This window comes from Homo sapiens, chromosome 3, assembly GCF_000001405.40.
Source record: "Homo sapiens chromosome 3, GRCh38.p14 Primary Assembly".
NCBI classification, from domain to species: Eukaryota; Metazoa; Chordata; class Mammalia; order Primates; family Hominidae; genus Homo; species Homo sapiens.
The window spans coordinates 2909051-2933183 of record NC_000003.12 but is presented as its reverse complement, the minus strand read 5'-3'; the positions used below and the strand labels follow the sequence as shown (position 1 = coordinate 2933183).

Below are 24133 nucleotides of genomic sequence, written 5' to 3'. Positions count from 1 at the left end.
TTCACACGTAAAATGTACATTTCCTGAGGCCGATCACAGCCTCATAAAAATGTAACCATCTGGGCCGGGCGCGGTGGCTCACACCTGTAATCCCAGCACTTTGGGAGGCCGAGGCGGGCGGATCACGAGGTCAGGAGATCGAGACCATCCTGGCTAACACGGTGAAACTTCGTCTCTACTAAAAATACAAAAAATTAGCCGGGCATAGTGGTGGGTGCCTGTAGTCCCAGCTACTCGGGAGGCTGAGGCAAGAGAATGATGTGAACCCGGGAGGCGGAGCTCGCAGGGAGCCGAGATCGCGCCACTGCCCTCCAGCCTGGGCGACAGAGCGAGACTCCGTCTCTAAATAAATAAATAAATAAATAAATAAATAAATAAATAAAGACTGTAAGCATCTGCATCTTTGTCCACCCTCCCTCCTTTTTTTTCTCTCTTGCTTGCTCTTTCCCTTTTAAATACTGAAAAATCCTCAAACCCCCTTTTGGAAGAGCACCAGTAACAGATGCTCCAGTGACGTATGTATTTCCCAGCCATGTCCTCAACCCTGGCGAAATAAACCTCTACCGATTAAGACTTGCCTCCCTCACTTTTTCATTAAGCTCTGAAGATGGAGCGAAGGGACCACGAGCCAAGGAATGGAGGTGACCTGTAGAAGCTGGAAACAGATTCTCCCCTAGAGCCTCCAGAATGAGTGTATCTCTGCTGAAGCCTTGATTTTAGACCAATGAGGCCCATATCAGAATTTTTATCTCCAGAACTATAAGAATCTCAATTTGTACTTATTTTTTATTTTTTATTTATTTTTTGAGACGGAGTCTCGCTCTGTCACTCAGGCTGGAGTGCAGTGGTGCAATCTCGGCTCACTGCAAGCTCCGCCTTCTGGGTTCACGCCATTCTCCTGCCTCAGCCTCCCGAGTAGCTGGGACTACAGGCGCCCACCACCACGCCCGGCTAATTTTTTTGTATTTTTAGTAAAGAGAGGGTTTCACCGTGTTAGCCAGGATGGTCTCGATCTCCTGACCTCGTGATCCGCCTGCCTCGACGTCCCAAAGTGCTGGGATGACAGGCGTGAGCCACTGCGCCCGGCCTAAATTTGTACTGTTTAAGCCAAACTCCCACCCCCCACCCCGGCCACACACACACATGCACGCACATGCAGCACACATTTCTATTCTCATGGAATTTACGATCCAATGGGTGGAGGGTGGAGAAGATCGATGATAAGGTTAAAATGTGGGCAAGGTGTGGTGGCTTCTGCCTGTAATCCTAGCACTTTGGGAGGCTGAGACAGGAGGTTTGCTTAAGGCCAGGAATTCAAGACCAGCCTGGGCAATAATATAACAAGCCTCTGTCTCTACAAGCAACAAAACGAAACAAAACAAAACAAATTAGCTAGGCATGGTGGCATGTGCCTGTGATCACAGCTTCTCAGGGGGCTGAGGTGGGAGGATCGCTTTTGCCCAGGAGTTCAAGGCTGCAGTGAGCTATAATCTCACCACTGCTGTCCAGCCTGGGCAATGGAGCAAGACTCTGTCTCTAAAAAATAATAAATAAATAAACAATTAAAAGTTAATACATAGTATGTGGGATGGTGACAAATACTATAAAATATATAAATTAGGAAAAGAAGGTGAGGGTTTTACCATTTTAAGTATGTTACTGGGAAAAGTGTCTCTGAGCAGGTGACACTTGAATGGGAATCCCCGTTTGAATGACGTCACCACTTGCAGGCACCTCACATTCAACATGCTAACAGTAACCTCTTTATTTGCCCCCTCTCAGTCTTGCTCCTTCTCTGTTTACTACTGCGGCAAGTGGTATTAGGAACTGCCATTCGTCAGTTCCTAAAGATGGGATCCTAGGAGGCATTTCCTCTTTTTCCTCCTCCTTTTTTCAATCCTTCTACTTACTAGGTCATTAAGTGTTTTCAGTTCTACCCTTTAATAGTCCGTATATCACCCTTCTCTCTTTCACTCTCAGGAGACTGATGTGATCCACGTGTTGTGATTTTCTTCCTAGACTGCTACCTGGAATTGCCCTCTCTGCATCCTCAACCTTGCCCTACCCTGATTCCTTCTGCATGTTGCAGGCACAGTAATTTTTCTGTAGCATGCATATGACTGCACACTCCCTTGCATAAAATCCTTCAATTCTGTCCATGGTCTTCTGATTCAAGTCTAAACTCCACAGACATAAAATACAAGGCCTCCACAATCTATCGCTGCCCTACATTTTCCAGTAGTCCTTCTCAATACATCACCTTTATAACATATGCCTCAGGATTGTTGAAAAATTTATATTGATATTGTGCTACTGGGCCTCTGCGCTAGTCTATGAGCACCGTGAGGGCTAGCTAGGTTCATGTCTCCTTTTTTTTCTCTCTCTCTAGTGCTAAGCAAAGGTAAATACCCAGTGAGTGCTGCATCCATGGAATGAAACTGGAATTGGCTAGATTCACAAAACAGAGTCATGCTGCTGTTCTAAACCCAAGCCTGCGACATGCAGACTGTAGGTGTGAGATTCTTTTTGGAAAAATTCAGTGGCGTACCTATACCTGCTTATTATCCATTTGCTTGACATAATGTATTAGTCTAATATTTAAAAGGGTGGGGGGAAACCCTTAAGCATAAGAATAAGAAGACTTTATTTACTCAACATTAATGAGAGTGACAGTTTATTAATTTATTTGGCTTCGGTGAAAAGTAAAATATTTTGTCTCAGTGATTTTTCCAGACAACTAAACTTTCTTGTCTAAGCACCACATTAATTTTTAAAAATAAACATTGGCAGGGAGTGGTCTTTCTATGTTATATCATTCACTTGCTTGCCTTACTAATCCAAACTCGCTGAAGGTCATTTTTTCTCTCTAGTATAACAATAATAATCATCATCCTTTTCTGTGGAGATAAATAAAGCTACTTTTTCCCTTATTAAAACCGCTTGGAAATGACCAAAACAGTGAGAGGATGCCAAACAACGCTGTCTGAAGAAAATCAGATACAAGGGGGACATCTGGGCTTAGAAAAGAATTGAAAGAGAACATAGGGTAGCCTCCCAGTATAGAAAGGGAAGGGAGGGGTGGTGGAGAACAATCTGATTTGTCAGTAAAATTCCACAAAGTGAAACCAAAAATGAGTGGAAGTTGCAAGGACATAATCTAACAATTAGTAAGGTCTCCATCATTATTAGTAACCAGGGAAGGATGTGGGCCCAGCCATTGTGGGGATCCCTGCCCTGGCATGGAAGATGGGCTCTGTAATTATGGTGGGAGTTTGGCATCAGCCTCTGCGCAGCATCCATTCCCTCTTCTTCTGGTGATAGCAGCTCGATTTCTTTGGGAAAACCCCTGTCCCATTCTCAGTCCATGTGGTTTGAGATGGGCTTCCCCATGTGCCTCTTAGGATAAGCACATGACTCACGTCTGCCTGATCAGTGGACATTGCGATACATTGGAAAAGAGGGTGAGTACATGGCTCCAGTAGTCATCCTACTAGCAGGAGAGGAGAGCCTGTTGGAAAAGAAGCCAAAACAGCCAAAGGTGCAGGTGAGACAGGAAGAGAGCGAGACAGAGTCCTGATGATACTGTGTGAGCACCTAAGCCCTGTCATACCTGCAGTTGCAATCCATCCTGGATCTTCTCAAATACATGAGCCAATGAATTCTCGTTTGTCCTTTTGAGTTGGGTTTCTCTTACTTGTAACCAAAAGCATCCACCCTGGGTTGATACAATTGTTGTATAGCTCCTTATAATCCTAGGATTCTAGGATTTTTATTAATGATTCTGCTATTTCTGTATTTTAATGTTTTTGTTTTTAATAGGTCAACTTCAGTCTTACCTGCCTCAAAGTACCTTCTGTCTAAAAACTAACAGTAAATAAAATAATCAACCTTATTCAGTTAGTAGGCTTAATTCCTCAATTCATCCAAATGATTCCAACTGCCTTTATGGTGACTAGAGACCTCTCCTGAGGACTAAAGCTCTTGAGCTGTGTGACAGGTCTTCCCTGTTTTAAATGCCTGATATTGCCTACACTGATTGCTGGAGACACACACAAGACAATAAGAAATGTTTTATGTTTATGGATATTCTGCTTACCCAAGAAGAATGCTATGAAATTACTTGACTTTTCAATCTTTCATTTAGATGCTTGGATTAACATAGATAAGGCTAGTGTGAATATGCTGTATATTTCCAAAAGAATGGGAAGCCAAAACAATAACATATTTTAAACATATTTTTAAGATAACGAACATGTTAATGTTAAACCAGTGTTTCTGAATCTATATCCACTTAGCTAACTACAATATCACCACATGGTTAGATGAGACAAAACCTTTTTAATTTTTAAAATATTGCTTCTAATACCACTACTGTAAACTCATTTGTAGGCAGTTGATTAATTAAAATTGAAATTAAATGTCAATAAGTAAGAGTTTAGCAAAGTCTTTCAAAACACAGAATCTAGGCAGAACATTAATAAAAGGGGCTTGATCATAAAGTGTTGTTTCACTGTGTTATGCCAGTATTTTTTACTTAAGGGATTAATAATATTTTTAATCAAAGGTTAAAGACTTGCCTTTTGTTTCCTAAGATTCTACATCTGAAAAGAGAATTAAGGCTAATGAGGCAGTGCATTAGAAATTATTACTCAAAGCTGTGTAGTCAAAGAATTTTGCACTTCATGTTGGTCTACCAGGTCAATCCTTTCCCAAAATAGGGGTTCTAAAATTTTTTACTCATCAGTTTCATCTACAATTGCTTTTTCTCACTCATCCACTTAATTTTCCCTCTTCTCTATCAGAAAGAAATGAGAAAAATGGCAGAATCTCTTCTCTGCCAATGAGAAAACAATCATAAAATCTTTCTTATTGTTCACCCATTTCAGAAACTATGAAATGTTCCACTTCATGTTCTCAGAAGTTAAAAACCCGTGGCTCATGAAGTAAACTTGGTCTATAAGCACACAGTTTATATTGTACATCATCAAAATAAAAATTAGTTGCTGACATTTAAAAAATGGAAGCTCAAACAAAAGTCTAGATTTCTAGTTTCTCTTGAAGAACAAGAAGATGAGCAGGCACCTGACCTGTGTCTCCATATGGCTGAGTGGCAGGTGTCTCCCTTGGATGGGGCAAACACTGAAGTCCCCAGCATTCCCCTATATACTACACCTGGCCAGTTTTTTAATGCATTTACATTAACAAAATCATCATATCTGGTTAATACATTCTGAGTGAGGTGGGAACGAGGATCAGAACTGTGAGAACACAGCACTCATGTGGAGAATAAGTGCTAATATTGATAGTTTGGGACTAGCCTGCTGACAGAGAAGGTGGAGGCGATAAATAGCAGGAATTAGGTAATGATGGGGAGTTTCCTCAGTTTAAATATATATTTTAGTGCAAAATAAATGTTGAAGCATATTTGGACCTTATTAGTCAAGTCAGGAATAGATAGAATGAAATCTGGATAAAGACAAGCTTTGTGGTAAGTCAAGTGGTGGAAACAATCAATTAAATTCACATATCATATAGAATTCTTGATACTGGCATACTATTTCCCCAAAGGTAATTTAATTAGCTTGTAACAATGGTTAAGCTGTAGCAGTTGTAAGCAGTCATTAATACTGTTCAAAATATTAGGTTGTCTCTTTTCTTCCAGGCACATAGCAAGATTATATTTCCCTGCTGAGTTGCAGGAACATGTGACCTGTTTTGGCCAATGAAATGTGAGTGAAAGTGCAAGTGTTGCACTTCTAAGTAGAGGCTTTAAGAACCCATGCATGTTTGGCTCTTTTCCTTCTGCAATGGCAACGTCCAGAGCATCTTGGTCCACCAGGCTGGCCTTAGAGAGGAGCAGAGCCACTACCAAACCCCTGATGTACACTAGGTGCAAAAGAGAAATTGCCTTTTGTTGTTATAAGCCAGAACTCAGGGTTGCTTGTTACAGTAGCATAGCTTAGCTTCTCCTGATTGACCTACAGTGTTATTATAACTTTATTCATTCATGATTTTTGACATGTCTAATACCCATATTATTATTTTCTTAGTGTCATTTTAAAATTAAAACTTTTAAAATGTAGCCTTATTCTGAGAAATACATGTGGTACATACTAGTTATATTTCAACTATATTAAAAGTAAGTACATAGCTATTAAAAGTAATCTCACGTGCCACATTTTAAGAAACACTGAAGTAAATAAAACAGAAAATGAATCTCATGTTGATGACTGCAAAATAAGCAATTATGCTATTGATTTTCAGGTTTGGCTACAAATTTGAATGCCATGTCAACATTCAATGAACTACACTGCTTTCTTGATACACCAGAAATCAGAAAGGGATGTATACCACAAATTTAATACATTTGTTACTCCTTAGTCCATAGCAAGTGTTAAAAAAAGTATGAATACACCATTTATAAACCATATCAGGTTTACATTAAAATGGACAACACCATCATCATCAGGTCTAATATGTATATGCAAATCCAAAGGTGTACAGGTGTAAAGGGTAGATACGTACACATTTTTATAGGCTTCCTTCTTGCATCCTTGAGTACCTGACCTTTAGCATTAATTAAAATCATTATATATACAGCTGGCAAATCCTGTCTTATAGGTGACAAACAGATTCACGCATAATTACCATTTTGCAACAGATTAAGTAGATTATAGAAAAAGGTAGGGGATATTTTACAGGGGTGACAGCCAAGAAAAGGTCTTAGAGACACCTGCCATTTCGTGCAAGCTAATGTAAAACCTCAAATAACTCCTATATATTTGCATTGTATACACTACATGCATTCTAAATGTAATTCATGTATAAGAAATATACAGATGAAGAGTTTAGATATTAGAAAAAAAACCTGTTTTCTCAAAAATATGTAGTTGAAATAAAAAGCATAACACTCTGCTGTTTGAAGTATGAGTTTTGAAAAGAATGAGTTTTGAATGAGTTTTGAGACAGCCTCAAAAAAGGAGAAACTAACAGGAGACATAATAGCCACTGCCAAATAATTGAAGGGTTGTCATAGCAAATAAGACATGGGCTTATTTACATATACCAAAGGACTTAGGATGGGGAAAGGTGGGGAAATCTACAAAAATTTCAGGCTTAAATTAAGGAGGATGTTTCTAACTGTTCATCTTCAGGCAGCTCTGGCAGTCTTCAGCGGGGATCATGTGATCTATCTCTGCACGGAGTGCTTTGTAGAATTCCCAAATCCAGAAGGACTATAAAGATCAATAACTTACCACTCATCCTTCCAAAGCTTCTGTTCTTTTTTTAACACTTAGTTCAGGAACAGCAGATAGTCACCCCACCTTCCCCTTAGAATTATTAATAACAGACCAACACATTTTTACAGGTTAACCAAATATTGAAAATAATTCAAGACAGTACCTTTCATTTTCTTTTAATATATCCCTTCCTTTCTTCCAGGTGTAAACAGGTTTTGGAGACGCTTTTGGCTTACACTCAATGACAACTTCACCTCCCACTTTGACAAGAGTTACTCTTTTCAAGAGTGTTCTTGAAAAATCTGGACCTACAGCTGAAAGACAGTACAAAAAATAATTATTATGCAAGACAGCCTTCCATGAGATAATTCCTTAGTCTTTTTCTTTCTTTCTTTTTTGAGACAGAGTCTTGCTCTGTTGCCAGTGCAGTGGTGCAATCTTGGCTCACTGCAACCTCCGCCTCCCGGGTTCAAGTGACTCTCCTGCCTCAGCCTCCCTAGTAGCTGGGACTACAGGCACGCATGACCACGCCCAGGTAATTTTTGTATTTTAGTAGTGATGGCGTTTCACCATGTTGGCCAGGATGGTCTCGAGCTCTTGACCTCGTGATCCGCCCGCCTCAGCCTCCCAAAGTGCGGGGATTACAGGCATGAGCCACCACACCCAGCATCTTTTTCTTTCTCTAATACACTTATTGCTACCTTGGTCATCAAAGGGAGGAAGCTAATTTTTTTAAAGTATGTAGCACTGTATGTTTTGATGGATTTAGTAAACTTTGAGGTATAATTTGCATTTGGTAAAAGGTACATTTGTGTGTGTACAGTTTGGTGAATTTGGTATACACCACCATGAAGATCAAGACACAGAATATTCTCATCTCCCTGTTGAGGGACTCTTTTAAAGAAAATTTATTGTATGTTCAAGTGAACAAACATTTTAAAATTTCAGAAAATTGAAAGGGAAAGAAACAAAATTAGGAACGCCATAAGATTTTTTTTTTTAATTGTGTAGGTTAAAGCATTTGCTCTCTGATATGGTCGCCACCTCTGCTTTGTCCCATAGCACTCTTCATATATATCTCTATTAGAGAACATGCTGAACTGTCTCTATTGTCACTCTCCGTAAGCTTCTTAAACACAGGGTTTTGTTTAGCTTTTCACTGCAAGTGCCCAATGCAATGCTTGGCTCATTTAGGAGAAGCTGTGACTTGTTCTTGGAGTGTAGGTGTTGAGATAGCTCTATTATATGCTCACCACTAGCGTTCTAAAAAATTCACTCATGCTAACACCAGTAACATAGTCCTATGGAAATACTATCAGAGAATTATTTCTTTCCTAAAACAAAAGATACATATTTGTATTCGCACAAAAGTAAAATAAAAGACATTTTTCCTGGAAAATATCTATTTTCTTCTGAGTTAATTGAATTAATGTGCAAGAAGAGATTTTGGAATGGAAGGATTCATTTCTTGGAATCTTAATTTTATCATATTTTAAAAGCCTGACTCATTGCAGTTTGACCTGGTGGAATTTAATATTTAAGACCATGTTGAATGTAAAATTGAAATATAAATCACAAATTACTTAAAGGAGAACTTGAGGTGTGTGTTATGTGAATGCGGGGGCTTGGGGGGTAATGGGGGCCAATTTCTTAAAAGTTCCTAAATCATAGGCTAATGATGTTTAAAAATGAAAGTAAGCTTCAGTGGAAGCAAGTCAAATCTTGATTACATTCTTTTGTTGTGGAAATACTTTCGGTAACTGCCTAGAAACAAATAAAGATGGAGAGGTCACTTTTTAATAGGGCCATGCAATGTACACCTGGGGCTGGTATTCTCATGCGAAGGTAAAATTTTAAAAATGAATCTAGTAGGCAATTGATATCTCAATCTGTTTACCTCAGATTTATGAGGGAAGTCTATAATTCTGGGAGTAATTCAATGATAATAAGTGCAATTAATAAGTAGAGTGCAAGTACAGATGTACAGATGTTTTTGCTTTAATGAGATAAACGCATTTCTTCTATGGTCTGCAAAATCATGCAATAAAAATTGTAGGGTTTATGAAAAAGATAGGGTCAGGACACCTACTCAATATTTATGTAACGAGAACACTACAAAAACAATAACCATCCTAGTAATTATCAAACATAATTAAATATAAACATGATTAAAAAGATAAGTTAAATTCATAATAACTACTACAAAAAATACAGTGTATGTGTGTGTGCACATGCATGAGAAGGTAGCTTGATGGAAGAAAGAAGGAAGAGTTGAGATTGCTAAGCTATGAAATAAGTGCAAATTGCAGAAAGATTGAGAATTACGCAATAAGCACTCCCATGTTGGAGTACGTGGCCACACTGCACCAACAGGAAGAATGTGGCATGAATGGGAATCATGTGCAGTAGGTATTTTCCCTTGGCTAGCTGTGTTAATCTGTGTTCGTAGGCTTTGTGTTTGGTTGCTGCTACTTAGTAAAATACCTGAACAAATCCAGGGTCTATGTTATACTGACATCATTCCCCTACTTACCAATCCCATATAAGCTAAGTCACAGAAAAGTGTTTCAGCAGAGCAAACTCAATGCAAACCCCTGAACTGACAGAAAAATGTAAAAAAAAAAAGTCAGGTATTCTTGAAGTTTTTTTTTAAATGATATTTTGTGAAATAGAGTTACAAATCTGTATCATATAAAAATCCCTTCTTAAAACTGTATCTTTCTACACATATAATTTTATCACTTTAGGCGGACATTTTTCATCCATTCAGGAGAAATTCTGCAGTAGCATTTGAAATGAGTTTACATAAATCAAACTGTGCACAACACATGGGCATATTTGTCAAAAAACTACATTTTGCTTTTACAGGATTTGAAATAGCATATCAGACACACAGAAACCAGAAAACACACCTTTCAGTTTCAAAAGCATTTGTAATGTACTATTGGTGTGCATATAATCTTTTGGATATCTTATCGAGATAAGACTGGCTGGAACATCTTTCACTAATTAAAATGGAATTAAAAATTCAAGGCCGGGCATGATGGCTCATGTCTGTAATCCCAGCACTTTGGGAGGCTGAGGTGGGCAGATCACATGAGGCCAGGAGTTCGAGACCAGCCTGGCCAACATGGCAAAACCCCGTCTCTACTAAAAATACAAAATTAGCTGGGCGTGGTGTTGCACCTCTGTAATCCAACTACTGGGGAGGCTGAGGCATAAGAAGCGCTTTAACCTGGGAGGTGGAGATTGCAGTGAGCCAAGATCGTGCCACTGCACTCCAGCCTGGGGGACAGAGCTAGACTCCGTCTCAAAAAAAAAAAAAAAAAAAAAATCAAGTTCTTTTCTTTTGTTAACTCAATTTACTTAATTAGCTTCTGAAGTTATCTAACCCTGCAAATTTATCAGTTGTAACCATAAACTGTGGTACTTTTAAGGGAAAATTGTCAGAACTCCATCAGTTTTTGAATACTTGAGCTATTAATGGATTTCTTAACATTCTCCCATTTTGTGAGCATCTTTTGCACCAGAGATGCTGTTCAGCTTGTAGGATGATCCTTTTTCCTATTTGTACCCTTTATTCTCATCCTCAAACACTGACCTAGGGGAGGTTTGAAGGAAAAGTGAAAGGGACCTGTTCTATTTGACATTCACAGGTAATGAGGTTTTAAAAGTTATTGGTAAATCCCCAGAAGGGCACTATTAGAATCTAACCTTCGCTGGCACTTAAAAAATTAGTGCACATGGAAGTGAAACTTCAGTAGTTTCTAGTAGCTCAGAACTGTCAAATTGCCCCTTATGTCTGAGAGTAGCTGAGATACTGGGAGCTCCTTATTTGCTGTATTTAATATACTTAAATGATAATATTTCTCACATGCACTGCTAGAGGGCACCACTCCCTCAGTATTAGAATGAACTGTATTATGGGTCCTCCTCCATGTGAGAAATGCAACTTTTTATTATTTTTCAATGATCTTTATTAGATTATCTATGAGAAGCATCTGGCTGAGAGAAGCCCTCTATGTAATTCACAACTATTTGTTTTTAGTTAGTTAAATGAATTTTGGTCATATATCAAGGGTATTTTAAGTGGCCAATAGAACCCCTCAAAAACTTAAAAGTTTTTTGCTTTAGTGTCATTTCTCAAGAGAAACAGTAGAATGATAGCTCCTTAACTAGATATGCAGTGGCAGTCCTATTTGGGAAATATATGGATGTGATGTCTTACTACATTATTGAAGAAGAAAGGATTATTGTGTAATGCCAGTTCTATCACAGTCTGTGATAGAAGCATCACTGGGAACACTGCCAGTTGATGGAGAATATTAAGGCCAGCTTTTTTGGAAGTTCAGCATTTCTTATTACTTTAACCGTTGTCTACTTTCTTTAACTATTACCTCATCATTCCCTAAAAACAAGCTTAGAGTAAATGCATTAATTCAAATCTTTTCACTACTGAGGAGAAAATATTGGTATCAGATTATGAGACCCCAAATTTCTTTTGGCCTGTTGGATTGCTATCTAGAAAGAAGGCTACTGGTAGAAGATTTCTTCTTTCTAGGTCCACTGTTTTAGAATGGCTGATTCAAAAATCAGCCTTCTCTGAGGTCAGGTGTGTTGGCTCACGCCTGTAATCCCAGCACTTTGGGAGGCCAAGGCGGGAGGATCACTCGAAACCAGGAGTTCAAGACCAGCCTCGGTGACACAGTGAGACTCAGTCTCTATAAAAAATAAAACATTAGCCAGGTGTAGTGGTGAATGCCTGTAGCCCTTGCTTCTTGGAAAGCTGAGGTGAGAAGATCACTTGAACTCAGGAGTTCAAGGCTGCAGTGAGCTAGGCTCACACCACTACACTGCAGCTTTGGTGACGGTGAGACCCTGTCTTTTAAAAAACAAGTCAGTGCTCTCTTATTATGAATGATATTCACAAGGAGACTCTCAACACAACTCTGAAGTAGATGATTTTTCCATTTTGATGTTAGCATGATGTGCCCCTTCTAGTGTTCCTAATATCCATCCTTCTATTGTTTCGGTCTAATTCACTGAATGCCCTGTTTCCTGATGGCTCTAATAATGCTTCTTCCACGGGCAGCTCTTGGGTTTAAAAACTCCTATTCCTTTGGGCGTTATTATGAAACAAAAGAATTTTACAATCATGAGATTATTTTGAGGATTAAATAAAATAATACATGTATTGAACATAAAGTACTTAGCACAGTATTTGATCCAGATTAAGAACTTCATACGTCCCCTCTCCACTGCTATTTCCACTACTGCACTACCCCAGTCACCATTATCACGGACTTTTCTTCTGCTGAAAATTTTCTTAGAGTCCGAGAAACACATCATTGTTTGAAAACAGAAAATGTTTATTTTGAAATAATTATAGACCCACAGAAAGTACCAAATATAATACAGAAAGGTCCTGTGCATCCTTCACCCCGTCTCCCCCAATGGTTACATCTTATGTAGATACAGTTAAATACAAAAACAAAGAAACTGATACTTGGTATAATGTGTATGTATCACACATGTAGACTGGGCAAAAGCACCATGGAAACTGAGATAGGGAACTATTCTATTGTCACAAGGATCTTCCTCTTGCTTCCCCTTCACAGTCATATCCAGCCTCCTTCTACCTCCCCTCTGTAACTCCTGGAAACCACTGACCTCTTCCCATTACTATAGTTTAGTCATTCTGAGAATGTTTTAGATACATATGTGTGTGAGAGAGAGTCTGTGTGTGTGTGGTGTGTAATCATACAGTATGTGACCTTTTGGAGTTTTTGTTCCTTTTTCCTGCTGAGTATTACATGCTGGTATGGATAAGAAATACATCTTCAATATCGGCACTTCGGGCTCTATGAAAACTGACAAATACTTTGAGCACGGGAGCCATTTCAAGATCTCTCATCTTTCTCTGCCAACAAGTAGGATTAGGTATGGCCTTTTATTTTTTTTTATAAAAGACTTGAAAACTCAAAAATCAGTTACATAAACATAGGTGGAGGTTTTCTCTTATTCCCAGAAAAATATTTTAAAGACATTTTAGAACATTATTTCTTATATAATCAACATGTTGATTAAAATTAATTCTTATATAATGCTTTAAGTAGGGCTTCAGCTGCTAAATTCTTGTTAACCTCCTTTGACCCATCCTATCCATATAAAGATAATAAGACAGTCTGCATTTTAAACACTCTGTAATCACATCGACTTTCTTATATCAGTCCAAATTGGTGATATTTCATTTACATGTCAGTGTCTTAAACTCTTATACAAACTCAAGTCCTTGGTTATGCAGGTAGTGTACAGTATGCGAAGTCTGCTAAATGAACAGAAGAGAGTCATTAGACTATGATAGTGAGAACCCTAGAATTTCAGTAGCTAGGAAATAGTAGCTCTTGTTATTAGCTATTATTAGAACATCAGTTCCTTGAAGGCAAGAATATGTATCCTGGATCTGTATATCCCTTGGGCCTGGCACGGTGCTTGATACAAAGTTGATATTTAATCAATGAACCTATTGAAGAATTAAGTCAATTTTTAAAAAGCAACGATCTGGTTTTTTTTTTTTTTTTTTTTTTTTCTGAGACAGAGTCTTGCTCTGTCACCCAGGCTGGAGTGCAGTGGTGCAATCTTGGCTCACTGCAGCCTCCGCCTTCTGGGTTCAAGTGATTCTCCTGCCTCAGCCTCCTGAGTAGCTGGGACTACAGATGTGTGCCACCACACCTGGCAATTTTTTTTTTTTTTGTATTTTTAGTAGAGATGGGGTTTCACCATCTTGGCCAGGCTGGTCTTGAACTCCTGACTTCAAGTCATCTTACTGCCTTGGCCTCCCAAAGTGCTGGGATTATAGGCGTAAGCCACCATGACCAGCCAAAAAGCAACAATCTTTCTTTTGTCTGACTTCTGGCATAATTCAAGTAAGAGCCTCTTTCCCTTTTGTGTATTATAAAAAAGTTGATAATCAATATTTGATGAATGAATGTATGTTGCAGGAAAGAAATCAGGGATTCAGTTCAAAACAGGAAATTCCCGTCTCATGAGGCTTTGCCTGAACACTACATCTCTTTCTCCCCTTCATATAGGGTTATGAATGGCTTCGTGAACTTCCAGTCCTGTGTACAGGACATGACATCCTCTTTGGAGTTGTACCTCAGTCTAATGAAACAAATTATCCAAGAAATACCACATGGGCTGTTTATACTACTAAATCATCTGAACTGGTGTGATAGTAAATGTTTTACAAGTGGCTCTCTAAATAAAACAAAACAATAAAATAAAACACCAAAGAATTTGGTTTGTAGTCCTTGCCAATTTCTGTGGTGTAAATATTCCTACCTTGGCCAATTTCAAGCTATCAACATGAAGTCACTGAACGCTGGGTTGAGAAGAGATACATAGAATGAGCTCCTGCTGCTGAGCTAGCTCTAGCAGCTAACCGCCTTTCCCTACTTTTCCCACAACATGTACTTAGGAGAAGGTAACAGGGCAAGTGCACCCTGGAAGTTCAGCTTTCCCCAGATTTGGGTCTTGTTCGGCAGAAGCACATGGTCTCCTCTTTCCTCCCCAGTATGTCCAACAGCTGACCCAGGACTGAGAAGGTAAGAACTTCACCTTGAGTTTACTTGCTCAAATAATGTGTTCCCTGAGGCTTTGTGAGACAAGTTATCACAGCAGTTTCATGCACTTCAGTGATACAGGCTCTATTCTAGACATGCAGGCTCACCAGAACCATATTACAATGTAGAAGAGCTATGTTTATGCAATGCGGCAGTGACTGATATCTTGCTTATCATGCTCTTTCAATAAAGCACCAGAAACAGTTTTGCAGGCAATGAGAGCATATATTTTGCCTTTGTGCTATGTTCATTTTCATCACATTCAAAAGACTTTACCAAAAGCAACACGCCTTACACTAAGTACAAATGACTTTCTTTAGGAGTCTAGAAGAACCATGGTCTTCTCATGCTGGAAAAAGAAGAGATGGAATATTGTTGGTGCCAATGCTCTTCTTCTGTTAAAAAAAAAATGCCTCACATGACTGATAGAGGTTTTGTTGGGTCATGTTGCACTCTTGGATAATGTAGCAATGGAAGCATGGATTAACTGGACACAGGGTCATTATACCAACAGAACAGTCCTGTCCTCCTTCCAACCTCTACACAATCTTATAAGTTAGAAAGGTACTCTGCTGTGATGGCTTAAGAATGGGTAAGAAAGGGATCTAGAAAGCAGATTACAGATCTGTGGCACCTCAAATAAACTCAATTTAATTGACCATAAAAATCACCAGAAGCTTGTTAAATGTACACCCTCCGGAACTCCATCCACTACAAGACAGAGAAGAGATCTATGATTTCACAACTTTTTGCCACTGAAAATGTGATCCCTAGAGCAGAAGCACTGGCATCACCTTGAAGTTTGTTAGAAATGCAGAATTCCAGGCCCTACCTCAGACCTGAAATTGGAATCTAAACTTAACAAAATTCCCAAGTAATACATATGAGTCTTCAAGTTTGAAAAATACTGCTAAATCTTCTATTTTTTAAATTGTGGTAAAAAGTACACCTCTCCGTCTCCGTCTCCCTCTTCCTCTCCCTATTCCGCTTTCCACCATCTCCCCCTCTGCCTCGTCTCCGCCTCCCGCTTTCCACGGTCTCCCTCTGATGCCGAAGCTGGACTGTGCTGCTGCCATCTCGGCTCACTGCGACCTCCCTGCCTGATTCTCCTGCCTCAGCCTGCCGACTGCCTGCGATTGCAGGCGCGCGCCGCCACGCCTGACTGGTTTTTATATTTTTTGGTGGAGACGGGGTTTCGCCGTGTTGGCCGGGCTGGTCTCCAGCTCCTAACCGCGAGTGATCCGCCAGCCTCGGCCTCCCGAGGTGCCGGGATGGCAGACGGAGTCTGGTTCACTCAGTGCTCAATGGTGCCCAGGCTGGAGTGCAGTGGCGTGATCTCGGCTCGCTGCAACCTCCACCTCCCAGCCGCCTGCCTTGGCCTCCCAAAGTGCCGAGACTGCAGCCTCTGCCCGGCCGCCACCCCGTCTAGGAAGTGCCACCTAGACGTCTAGCGCCACCTCTGCCTGGCTGCCCCGTCTGGGAACTGAGGAGCGTCTCCACCCGGCGGCCCCGTCTGGGAGGTGGGGGGCCCCTCTGCCCGGCCGCCCCTACTGGGAAGTGAGGAGCCCCTCTGCCCGGCCGCCACCCCGTCTGGGAGGTGTACCCAACAGCTCATTGAGAACGGGCCATGATGACGATGGCGGTTTTGTCGAGTGGAAGGGGGGGAAGTGTGGGGAAAGGAAAGAGAAATCAGATTGTTGCTGTGTCTGTGTAGAAAGAAGTAGACATGGGAGACTCCATTTTGTTCTGTACTAAGAAAAATTCTTCTGCCTTGGGATGCTGTTAATCTATGGCCTTACCCCCAACCCCGTGCTCTCTGAAACATGTGTTGTGTCCACTCAGGGTTAAATGGATTAAGGGCGGTGCAAGATGTGCTTTGTTAAACAGATGCTTGAAGGCAGCATGCTCCTTAACAGTCATCACCACTCCCTAATCTCAAGTACCCAGGGACACAAACACTGCGGAAGGCCGCAGGGCCCTCTGCCTAGGAAAACCAGAGACCCTTGTTCACTTGTTTATCTGCTGACCTTCCCTCCACTATTGTCCTATGACCCTGCCAAATCCCCCTCTCGGAGAAACACCCAAGAATGATCAATAAATACTAAAAAAATTGAAAAAAAGAAAAAGAAAAAAAAAGTACATAACATAAAATTTACCATCTTGACAATGTTTACATGTACAGTACAGTAGTATTAACTATATGCACACTTTTGTGCAACTCATTGCGAGAATGTTTTCGTTTTGCAACACTAAATGTTGATACCCATTACCCAACTCCCCATTTCCTCCTCCTCTCTCCCAGCCCCTGGTAACAACACTACTTTCTGTTTCTATGAGTTTGACTATGTTAGACATCTCACAAAGTGGAATCATGAAGTATTTGCTTTTTGTGACTGGCTCGTTTCATTAGCATAATGTCCTCAAGGTTCATTCATGTTGTAATACATAACAGAAATAATAGTCCATTGTATGTACTTAAACACATTTCCTCTATCCTTTCAACTATCCATGGACATTTAGGTTGCTTCCACCTCCTGACTATTGTGAATAATACTGCAATTAATATAGGTGTGCAAATCTCTCTTCAGGATGCTGTTTTCAGTTATTTTGAATATATACCAAATGTTAGGATTGCCAGATTATATGGTAATTCCATTTTTAATTTTCTGACTGTAAAGTGGATGAGTAACATCATGCTTAGCAGTGAAAAATTGAAAGCTTTTTCTCTAAGATCAGAAACAAAGCAAGGATGCCCACTCTCAGCACTTCTATTTAACCTAGTATTAAGTCCTAGGCAGAGCAATTAGACAAAGAATAAGTAAGTAAATAAATAAAAGCCATCCAAATTGGAAAGGAAAGAAGTAAAATTTTTCATATAAGGCTTTCATTAGGTTGAGGTAGTTTGCTTCTCTACTTTGTTGAGTGTTTTTGTCATGAAAAGGTATTGAATTAGGGCAGGCACAGTGGCTCATGCCAGTAATCCCAGCACTTTGGGAGGCCAAGGCAGGAGGATCACTTGAGGTCAGGAGTTTGAGACCAGCCTGGCCAACATGGTGAATCCCCGTCTCTACTAAAAATACAAAAATTAGCCAGCCATGTTGGCATGCGTCTGTAATCCCAGCTACTTGGGAGGCTCAGGTGGGAGATACGCTTGAACCCGGGAGGTGGAGGTTGCAGTGAGCCAAGATCACAACACTGCACTCCAGCCTGGGCGACAGAGTGAAAAAACAAACAAACAAAAAAGACATGGTATTGAATTTTGTCAAAAGCTTTTTCTTCATCAATTGGAACGATCACGTGGTTCTGGTCCTTCATTCTGCAGTATATTATATTAACTGATTATTGTATGTTGAGCCATCTTTGCATTTCAGGTATAATTCCAATTTGACATTGTGTATAATCCTTTTAATGTACTGCTGAGTTGAGTATGCTAGTATTTTGTTGACAATTTCTAGATCAATGTTCATCAGGGTTATGGTCTGTAGTTTTCTTCTGTCCTTGTTTGTTTTTGGTTTTAACATAAAGCTGCGCTTACAGAATGAGTTTAAATGTGGTCCCACTTCTTTAATTCTTTGGAAGGGTTTGGGGAAAACTGGTGTTAATTCTTCTTTAAGTATTTGGTAGAATTCTCCACTGAGGCATTTGGTCCAGGGATTTTCTTTATTGGGAAGTTTAAATTACTACTTCAATCTCCTTGCTAGTTCTAAGTCTATTCACATTTCTATTCCTTCAAGACTCAGTCTTAAGCAGTTGTATGTTTCTAGCAATTTATCTACTTCTTCCAGGTTATCCAATTTTTCAGTGAATAATTATTTATAGTGGTCTTTATACTCTTTTTATTTCTGAATCATCTGTTTCATGTCTCTAATTTCTGATTTTACTTATTTGAGTACACTCTTTTCTCAGTCTACTACGGGTTTGTCAATTTGGTTGATCTTTTTAAAAATCAACTCTTGTTTACACTGATTTTTTTCCTAGTATTTTTCTATTCTATATTTCCTTTATCTCTGCTCTAATATATATTATTCTATTACTTCTACTGATTTTTCAGTTTTTAAAATCTTTTTCTAGTTGCCTGTGGTGCGAAGTTAGGGCATTGACTTGAGATATTTCTTCTTTTTTAATGTAAGCATGTATCATTATTAACCTCCCTCTTATTACTGCTTTTGCTGCATCCGTAAGTTTTGGTATGTTGTATTTTCATTTCCATTTGTCTCCTGATATTTTCTAAATTACATTGTGACTTCTACTTTGACCCATTCATTGCTTAAGAATGAGTTGTTCAATTTTTACATATTTGTGGATTTCCCGTTTTTCCTCTGCTATCAATTTCTAGTTTCATTCCGTCATAGTCCGAGAGGATATTACGTATAATTTCAATTTTCTTAAATCTGTTAAAACTTATTTGTACCCTAACATATGGTCTCTTTTGGACACTGTTCCATGTGTGCATGAGTAGATTTCATATTCTGTTGTAGTAGAGAGCAGTGTTCTTTATATGCTTGTTAGGTCCAACTGGCCTACAGGGTTGTTCACATCCTCTGCTTCCTTATTTGTCTTTTGTCTGACTGTTCTATCCATGATTGAAAATAGAGTATCAAAGTATCCTACTATTGTGCTGCTATTTCTCTCTTCAGTTCTGTCAATGTTTGCTTCATACACTTGGAAGTTCTAATATTAGGTGCATACAGATTTCTAACAGTTACATCTTTGTGATGAATCAGTCCTTTTATCATTATATAATGTTTTTCTTTGTCTCTTGTGACAGTTTTTGTCTTAAAGTTTATTTTGTCTGATATTAATACGGTCACCCTTGCTCTCTTTAGGTTCTGGTTTGCACGGATTATTTTCCTCTATTCTTTCATTTTCAGCTTGCGTGTAACCCTAGATCTAAAGTGTGTCTCTTACAGAGAGCATATAGTTAGATCCTGTTTGTTTTTAATCCATTCAGTCAAGCTATATCTTTTAATTGGGGCATTTAATCAATTTATGTTTAAAATAATTAGAGATAGGGAAGGGCTTACAATTGCCATTTTGTTCATTTGTTTTATGTATCTTGTAGCTTTTGTGTTTACCCTTTCTCCTCTTTCTGTCTTCAAAAGAGGAGATTTTTATTCCTCGATTTTTATTTGTTTTAATTTTTATTTATTTAATTTGTTTATTTTTGAGACAGAGTCTCACTCTGTCATCCAGGCTGGAGTGCAGTGGTGTGATCTTGGCTCACTGCAGCCTCCGCCTCTCGGGTTTAAGTGAGTCTCCTGCCTCAGCCTGCTGAGTAGCTGGGATTACAGGCATGCGCCACCACATCCAGCTAAACTTTGTATTTTTAGTAGACATGGGGTTTCACCATGTTGGCCAGGCTGGTCTCAAACTCCTGGCCTCAAGTGATGTGCCTGTCTCAGCCTCCCAAAGTGCTGGGATTACGGGCGTGAGCCACTGCACCCAGCCTTGTGTTTCCTTTATTTTTAAAAATGATATGTTTTCATTCACTGCTCATTTCTCTTCTTGTATATTATATAGATATTATCTTTGTGGTTACCACTGTAATTATATAGCACATCTTAAAGTTATAATAATCTATTCAAGCTGGCAACAATTTAACTTCAATCATGTATAAAAACTATTTACATCCTGCTGCCCCACTTTGTTACTGATGACACAAATTACCTCCTTTTATACTGTACAGTTATTAACATAGATTTATAGTTACCTTTTATACTTTTTAAAACATTCTATACCAGATTTTTATAAAAGTGATTTTTGTACCTACAATATTACAGGATTTTATATTTGTCTGTATGTTTACCTTTATCTAGGAGTTTTAAATTTTCATATAGTTTTGTGTTGTTTATCATCCTTTCATTTCAACTTGAAGGACTCCCTTCAGCATTTCTTGCAGGGTAAACCTAGTGGTGATAAACTCATTCAGCTTTTGTTTATCTGGGAAAGTCTCCACTTCTCCCTCATTTTGGAAGGACAGTTTTACCGGATATAGTATTCTTGATTGGCAGCTCCTTCTTTCAGCACTTTGAGTAGATCATCTCTCTCCCTTCTAGCATGCAGTTCCTGCTGAAAAATCTGTTGATAATCTTACAGATGCACACTTGTTTGTGATGGGTTGCTTTTCTCTTGCTGCTTTCAGGATTTTCTTTTGGTCTCTGACTTTTGACACTTTGATTATAATGTGTCTCAGTGTAGATCTCTTTGGATTCATCCTAGCTGCAGTTCTTGAGCTTCTAAAATTTGTGAATCCATTTCCTTGCTCAGACTCAGGAAGTTTTCAGCCATTTTTTCTTCAGATAGGCTCTCTGCCATTTTCTCTCTTTATTGTCTGCAAATTACATAACACTTATATTGTTGCACTTGATGATGTCCCATAGACCCTTCAGCTTTCTTCACTTTTCTTATTTTTTCCGTTTTGCTCCTCTGCCTCAATAATTTCTAATGTTCTGTCTTTGAATTGCTGATTATTTTTTTCTGTCTGGTCAAGCCTGTTGTTGAATCTCTCTAGTAAATTGAGTACTATATTCTGAATTCACTTACTATATTCTTCACCTCCAGAATTTCTTTGGGCTCATTTTCATCTTTTATCTCGTTGATACTCTCATTTTGTTCATGCATCATTTACCTGATTTCCTTTAGTTATCTATCTGTACTGTCTCTTAATTCCTTGAGCGTCTTTATGAGAATAATTAGAATTCTTTGGTAATTGATATACCTCTGTTTCTTTAGGGTTGATTTCTGTAGATATAATTTGTTCCTTTGGTTGGGCCATGTCTTCTGGTTTCTTTGTGTGCTTTATTATCTTCTGCTGGAATTCTGGCATTTAAAAAATCAGACACTTCTCCTAGTCTTTGCAGTCTGAGAGCAATCAGTCCAGCTAGAGATTCCGCAAATCTCTCAAGCCTTTTCTGATGATGCATCTTCTCTGGGCTTTTGTATGTAATCCCCTAATTGAAGATTTGTTGGTTTCTACTCAGGAGCTTCCCTTGGTGTCTTTATCAGGTACTGTGGACTTTCTAGTGCTGCAGGAAGCATTAAATTTCCCTCTGTTGGTACTGGACCTCCCCTAGTGTCTGTGGTACAGCCTGATACCAGACCAAGCCATGTTGATAAGACTTTGTTCTCAGGGGGCCTCCCACATAGCCCAGTTTCTGTCATCACTTAGATTCAGGCAAAACGGAAACCACTCCCTTAGGTAGTACTTCCCCCTCAAAAGTAAAAACACTGGATATACCTTCCACTCTTTTCTTTCCCTCCCCAGCAAGAAATTAGGAATTGGAAGTTTTCTACTGATAGCTCTGTGCTACGCTGTGGGGAGTGGGAGGTGCTCCAGCAAGCGAGTGCCATAAATTTTTCTACAGTGCTTTAATGCTATTGGCTTTACACTTGACTGGAGTGCAGAAATCTCTTAACTGGTTTTATTTCTTTCAATGGCAACTGGTCCATTGGGGAAAAAGGGTCTGGGGCTTCCCTTTTGACTATCTTGATGAATCACCCCCCACTACCAAATCTTGAATGTCAGTCTAATTAATACTCCTTAGATTAGGCTCCCCAAATGCAATCAATTTTGCCAGAAGGTGGTGGAGGGGGAAAAATAGTTACTTCATTTATTTATTCATTCACAAATTCAAAGAACTTGGGGTAGATAATGGTAAAAGACATAAAGTAGTAAATACATTTACAATATGACTCAATTCAAACAGGGGAAGGGTAGAAAACAATCTCACTAGAATTAATACAATAGAGTTAAATTAATCCCAGACTGGGCAAAGAGAAAAATAACATATTTCTTACTGACTGATGAAAAACTTTGCCTCTTTACTAGAAGATGCAAACTTTTCTTCTTTTAAGAGAGAAGTTCTACATTTTATGAGAAATTTATTGGAAATATTTTTATGAAAAGGACTAAGGACTTCAAGATGGATCATCTCTTCACAGCAGTTTTACAGAAGATTCAGATATTTTGGTTATAGGATTGTATATAAAGTATTAATGCTCAGTGATGCCTTAGGCTGCATTCTAGAGTAATATTTTAAACTCTGACTCACTGCATTTCTTTGGGGGAATTGATGTAAGGGATGATCATAATATTTATCATAATATTTATCAGCTTTCAATGTCTCCCCTCAGTTGGCTTTAACTACCAGAGTCATGCCATGCAGCACTTTAGCTCAAGCCTCACATGGTAGTCTGTCAAGACATTCTGTGTGCTTTATTCCTATTCACTCTCTTGTTGAAATGGGGCCTTCAGCCATGGTTGGAATCTCTGATGCCTGCTCTTTCTCTCATACAGGGGTACTTCGGATTCAGAGTGCTTTTTGATCCAAAATCAGATGTTTTGGTAGGGAGACTATGTTCAATTTTTAAAAACAACAACAAAAGCCCTCTGTGTAGGACAGATTTCCTATTTTAGGATAGTGGTTCTCAAACGGTGGTCTTGGATAAGCAGCATCAGCATCAACATCACTTGTTAGAAATATAAATTCCCAGGCCCCACTCTAGAGCTACTATATCAGAAATTCTCAGGGTAGAGTTCAGCAATCTGTGTATTAACATGTCCTCTAGATTACTGTGATGCACGATAAAGCCTGATAATCAATATTTTAGGAAAATTCAATGGCTTTTTAAACCTGATCAATTAAAGCAATAGTTCTCAAATTCTGTTGTTCTTCGGAATCACACCTGGGGAGCTTTAAGGAAAAATGCCTGGGTCCTAGGATCAGAGACTGAATTAGTTGATAACGAGTATGGTATGCCATCAGGATAGTAAAGAGTTCCCCAGATGATTGTAATCTGCAGCAAAAATTGAGAAGCACAGAACTGGGATTTACTGGTGATTTCATGGCTATCTCTAAGTGTTTGGTATGGATACTAAGAGAAAAAAAAAAAAGCCCAAACCTTCTTATATTGTTATAAACACCTTTAGGTTTGCAAAGGCTTTCACGTGTAATTCTGTCAGTTTTCACAGTAAGATGAGTAATGACATCCTCCTACTACTGGTACGTATATGATCAATAACTTGATAAAGACACCAAATTTGCTTTTGAGAGCCAAGTGCACAGCTCCCCTCTTCATGACAACTTAAGTAAAGCTCTTGCCTGGATGACTGCAGTTGGGTAAGAAAGGCATGTGTCCTCTCATTCGATGCTGATCACACTCAGCACATCTGATTATTTTGTAACCTGGCTCAACGAGGCAGTTGAGAAATCAGATGCAGATGAGCACTTGTGAAAGTCCCTATGAAATAACTTTTAGTTTAGCCTT

At 39.1% G+C, this 24133-nt stretch overlaps 1 protein-coding gene across 40 annotated transcripts in view, besides 1 other annotated feature; it reads right to left on the bottom strand.

Moving 5' to 3' along the window:
- CNTN4 (contactin 4) overlaps positions 1-24133 on the bottom strand; it is a 959094-nt gene that overhangs the window by 124776 nt on the left and 810185 nt on the right. For all 40 annotated transcript variants that reach the window (XM_017005783.2, NM_001350095.2, XM_047447536.1 and 37 more), the window contains one exon: positions 7405-7555. In XM_017005783.2, the coding sequence (XP_016861272.1) occupies positions 7405-7555 (151 nt within the window). The remainder of the gene's footprint in view (positions 1-7404; positions 7556-24133) is intronic.
- Positions 11176-11225: an enhancer, noted in NCBI's record as "active region_19337". NCBI's record gives its function as "activates an Ori minimal core promoter by ATAC-STARR-seq in GM12878 lymphoblastoid cells {active_cell/tissue: GM12878}" and the evidence as "EXISTENCE:reporter gene assay evidence [ECO:0000049][PMID:35858748]".